The sequence below is a fragment of the Homo sapiens genome, chromosome 19, assembly GCF_000001405.40.
Source record: "Homo sapiens chromosome 19, GRCh38.p14 Primary Assembly".
NCBI classification, from domain to species: Eukaryota; Metazoa; Chordata; class Mammalia; order Primates; family Hominidae; genus Homo; species Homo sapiens.
Genome location: NC_000019.10, coordinates 32,536,487 through 32,541,587, shown reverse-complemented (window position 1 = coordinate 32,541,587; position 5,101 = coordinate 32,536,487). Strand labels below are relative to the sequence as shown.

Below are 5,101 nucleotides of genomic sequence, written 5' to 3'. Positions count from 1 at the left end.
GCCCAGGCTGGAGTGCAGTGGCACAATCTTGGTTCACCGCAACCTCCGCCTCCCAGGCTCAAGCAATTCTTGTGCCTCAGCCTCCCTAGTAGCTGGGATCACAGGCATGCACCACCACATCTGGCTAATTTTTGTATTTTTAGTAGAGACAGGATTTCAGCATGTTGGCCAGGATGGTCTCAAACTCCTGATCTCAGGCAACCTGCCCACATTGGCCTCCCAAAGTGCTGGGATTACAGGTGTGAACCACTGCGCCTGGCCAAGACCACGACTCTTAAAAAAAGAAAAAAACAAATTCAGAGAACCACTATCCCATCAATCTCCTGCTCTTTACAATGCCTTAGTGTGAAATCAGCAAGTGCTCAGATGACTCTAGTGGTTTTTCAGTTTGTCTGTTGCCAGCAGTTTCCAGGTAAGGGCCGTACATGGCCCACGATGGAGATGCTGTTTCGTCTCTCAGTCTGTTGTTACCCCTTTCCTTCGTGTTGATCAAGTCTTTTTAAAACTGGTAAATTCACCTACTGAGTATTATCAGACATGTTTAGATGTCATGCAGTGGTCTTCAGTGAAACATTAAAATTGTTTTATCAATGTATGCATATGGTTGAAACTTAAGTAATAGAGAATTGCTCATAAGAGAAATGGTCCCCTGTCTCTCTCTCTTTTCCTCTCTGAGTCACTTTATGCCATGTGCTAGTTTTTCTAGTGTTTATGTCACAACTGTAATTAATACAGCTGTGGCTCTGTTCCATAGACTGACTCCCCGCAATGAAAGAACACAGCAAAAGTTGCTCCCTGGGCATTCGAAGTTGACTGCCACACCCAAATGGCTCAAGCCAGTGGCCAGAGATAAGAACTTAGAGGCATCTCTCCCCTGCCCAGCAGACTGCCTCCCCACTTTCTCTCGTTGCTTCCTTTAAATACACCATTCAACCACTCAGACATAAAAAGGAATGAAAAATGTCTTTTGCAGCAACCTGGATCGAGCTGGAGGCTATTTAACCTAAATGAAGTAACTCAGGAATGGAAAACCAAATACCACATGTTCTCACTTAGAAGTGGGAGCTAAGCTATGAAGATGCAAAGGCATGAGAGTGATATAATGGATTTTGGGGACTCAGGGATGGGGAAGTTGGGAGGGGGTGAGGGATAAAGGACTACATATTGGGTACAGTGTACACTGTGTGGACTAAAATCTCAGGAATCACCTCTAAAGTACTTATTCATGTAACCAAAACCAAAAACCACCTGTACCCCAAAAACTTTTTTTTTTTGAGACGGAGTCTCGCTCTGTCGCTCTGGAGGCTGGAGTGCAGTGGCGTCATCTCAGCTCACTACAACCTCTACCCCCCTGCCACGCCCCACCCCGGGTTCAAGCGAGTATCCTGCTTCAGCTTCCCAAGTAGCTGGGATTACAGGCATGTGCCCACTATGCCTGGCTAATTTTTGTATTTTTAGTAGAGACAGGGTTGTATCATGTTGGCCAGGCTGGTCTTGAACTACTGACCTCAAGTGATCTGCCCACCTTGGCCTCCCAAAGTGCTGAGATTACAGGCGTGAGCCACAGCGCCTGGCCCAAAAACTCTTGAAATAAAAATAAATAAGTGGAGCATTCAGACATTTTCCCAAGAACTTAAAGTGACCCATGCTCCATTCCCTTATGTATACACCGTGAGCCGCATCTCTCTCTCTCCTCTCTCTGCCTGACTCTTCATTCCGGTCTGTGTGACCTGCCCTCCCACATATTGTGCCCTCCTTGCCTAGGGTCTGCTCCCTACCCTGGTGGTGGATGGAATTTGCACCTTCCAGCTGAAGAACCGGGGGCTTCCCCAGGCTGCGTTTCCCCGGGATGCTGGGAACATGAGGTTGGACTCCCAGTGCCAGAGCAATGGTCAGGCAGGCATAAGCTGGACAGAGCTCAGACAACAGCCACCAGGACGTCCACTGGTTGGGAGGCCTCAGGAAACAAGCTTCCCATGCAAAGGACCTTCTGGTCATTGTCCGCTGGGTAAATAGGCTTCCCATGCAAAAAACCTTCTGGTCACACTCTGCTGGGTAAACAAGCTTCCCATGCAAAGGAACTTCTGGTCAGTATCCGCTGGTAAACAAGCTTCCCATGCAAAGGAACTTCTGGTCAGTATCCGCTGGTAAACAAGCTTCCCATGCAAAGGAACTTCTGGTCAGTATCCGCTGGGTAAACAAGCTTCCCATGCAAAGAACATTCTGGTCACTGTCCGCTGGGTAAACAAGCTTCCCATGCAAAGGACCTTCTGGTTACTGTCCACTGGGTAAAAGAAGTATCCCATGAAAGGCACAGTCTAGGCTGGGCATGATGACTCGCCTGTAGTCCCAGCACTTTGGGAGGCTGAGGTGGGAGGATGGCTTGAGGCCAGGAGTTCGTGACCACCCTAGGCAACATAGCGAGACACCATCTCAACTTAATAAAAATAATAAAAAAATTTTTTAAAAAGAGACGCACACTCTAGACACCCACGCCCAGCTCCTCTGCATCTCCCTAGGGCAGGGTTGCTAGCCACTCTGGTGCTATAACCTCGATTTCACTGGGGGTTCTCAAAACACTGTCTAATGTGAAAAATGAAGATTGCGTGCTCTCACCCCATTCCCTTCTGATATGGTTTGGTTCTGTGTCCCCACAATCTCATCTTGAATCTTAATCCCCATAATCCCCACATGTCAAGGGAGGGACCTAGTAGGAAGTGACTGGATCATGGAGGTGGTTTCTCCCATGCTGCTCTCAAGAAAGCGAGTGAGTTCTCAAGAGATCTGATGGTTTTATAAGCATCTGCCATTTCCCCTGCTTGCACTTCTCTCTCCTGCTGCCATGTGAAGAAGGACCTTGCTTCCCCCTTCCCTTCCACCATGATTGTAAGTTTCCTGAGGCCTCCCCAGTCATGTTTAACTGTGAGTCAATTAAACCTCTTTCCTTTATAAATTACCCAGTCTCGGGTATTTCTTTATAGCACTGTGAAAACAGACTAATACACCCTCTTCCCTCTTCCTGTTTATATTTTGTTGGTGTTGGTGATGGTGGCTGACTTTGCAACATCAAATAACTCACTTCAACCTCTGTGTCTTGTTCCATTGATGTTCAGTAGCATCTCTAAACCTGTCCCCATGGGGAGGGAAGACATCAACCCCCTCTAACTTGCCTTCCCTCTCCTTCTACCTACATTTCCCAATTTCTGTTAGGTGGACTTTTTACTTTTTCATATGTTCAAGGTAAAAACATTTACATTTTCCCTCTTGTAATTGTTCTTTCCTGACCTGTCTAGAGGCTGATTCAAAAAGAATCCAATACAGCATTTATGTCATCTATAAAAAATGTTTTTGATCTTGCCAATACTGTTCACTGGAGTGTCTTATTATTTTGTTTTGTTTTGATTTTTTGAGACACGGTCTTGCTCTGGTGCCCAGGCTGGAGTGGAGTGATGCAATCATAGCTCACTGCAGTCTCAAACTCCTGGGCTTAAGCAATCCTCCTACCTCAGCCTCCCAGTGTGCTGGGATTGCAGGTGTGAACCACCACGCCTGGCCTGTTTTGCCATTTTTAGTGAAGGTCTCCCTGTGGAGACCATACTGGTGCTGCTGAGTTCAACCTCCTTGTTGGATTTTAATTGTCATCACAGAGAAAAAGATTGTTCTCTGCAGGTTAAACAACTGGTCTATGGTGAAGACATTGTCTTTGAAAGAGTTACCATGGCAACCTTTCTCTTCAAGGCAAGCTATTCAAGACATCAAAACATAGGATTTGGCTTTGTATTAAATTGGTCACCATGGAGAGTTCCTCACAGCACACATGCTGTATTGGCCCCCTTCACTCCCGGGGTATTTTTTTTCCTGAGAACCAGCGCCTCTGCTCATGACTGGGTGGCCACCTCCTTGCATCCCGGACTCAGTTCGGAAGCCTGGCCTCCTCCATGAAACAAAGTCTGTCTTCTCTAAATAAAGCAAGCTCTTTATTGGCTGGATGCGGCTCATTACCACATAGTTACAGTTTTCTCTCAGATTATAGGCTCCGAGGCCAGGCATGGTGGCTCACGCCTGTAATCCCAGCACTTTGGGAAGCTGAGGCAGACAGATCACCTAAGGTCAGGAGTTTGAGACCAGCCTGGCCAACATGGCAAAACCCTGTCTCTTCTAAAAATACAAAATTAGCCAGGTGTGGTGGTGGGCACCTGTAACCTCAGCTACTCGGGAGGCTGAGGCAGGAGAAGCACTTGAACCTGGGAGGCAGAGGTTGCAGTGAGCCAAGATCGAGCCACTGTACTCCAGCCTGGGTGACAGAGCGAGACTCTGCCTCAAAAAAAGAAAAAGAAAAAGAAAAGAAAAGAAAAGAAAAGAAAGAACATAGGCTCTGAGATTTGAGATTTGGAAGGAAAATTTTATGCAGAAGAATGGACGTTCATTTTTTCCACTATCCAACATCCCTCTTCTCTACCCTTGCTCTGGTAATAGTATTTTACTTTTGGCGAACTGCCTCATTGATTAGTCAATAAATGTTGCCAGGACAATTGCCTGTCCATTTGGCGAGAAATCTTGTCTCTGCCTTCCTATTATTAACAAAAGTCTGGCTGGGCTAAAAACCCAAAAGTAAAAGAATTGCTAAAGTAGCAGCGGAAAACGGGGGGCATATTTTCATCATCTGAGAGGTGGAAAGAAATCTAGAGGTAACGGAAGAAAAAAAGAGGGCACCTCAAATTTTATAACTTATATACACACCACGCCATCAATATAGCTAAACATATTTGTGACATATGACAAGGTGTTAATACTCAGCATGTGTAAAGGGCTTCTAAAAATAGATAAGACAAATCTAGGTTGAAAGGTGCTTAGGTTTATGAGTTAAAAAAATATAAAATAAACCAACAAAAATGTTACCGTCACCTACTGGACCAGTGTCTTAAGTCTGTCTTGCACTGCTGCAAAGAAATACTTGAGGCTGGGTAATTTATAAAGAAAAGGGGTTTATTTGGTTCGCAGTTTTGCAAGCTGTATAGGAAGCATGGCACTGGCATCTGCTTCTGGTAAGGCCTCAGGAAGCTTCCACTCACTGCAGAGGTGATGGGGGAGCAGGTGTGTC

The 5,101-nt window shown here is 45.9% G+C and overlaps 1 annotated feature.

The window, feature by feature from the left end:
* Positions 671-965: an enhancer, noted in NCBI's record as "tiled region #12835; K562 Activating DNase matched - State 8:EnhW". NCBI's record gives its function as "activates a minimal TATA promoter and a strong SV40 promoter by Sharpr-MPRA in K562 cells {active_cell/tissue: K562}" and the evidence as "EXISTENCE:reporter gene assay evidence [ECO:0000049][PMID:27701403]".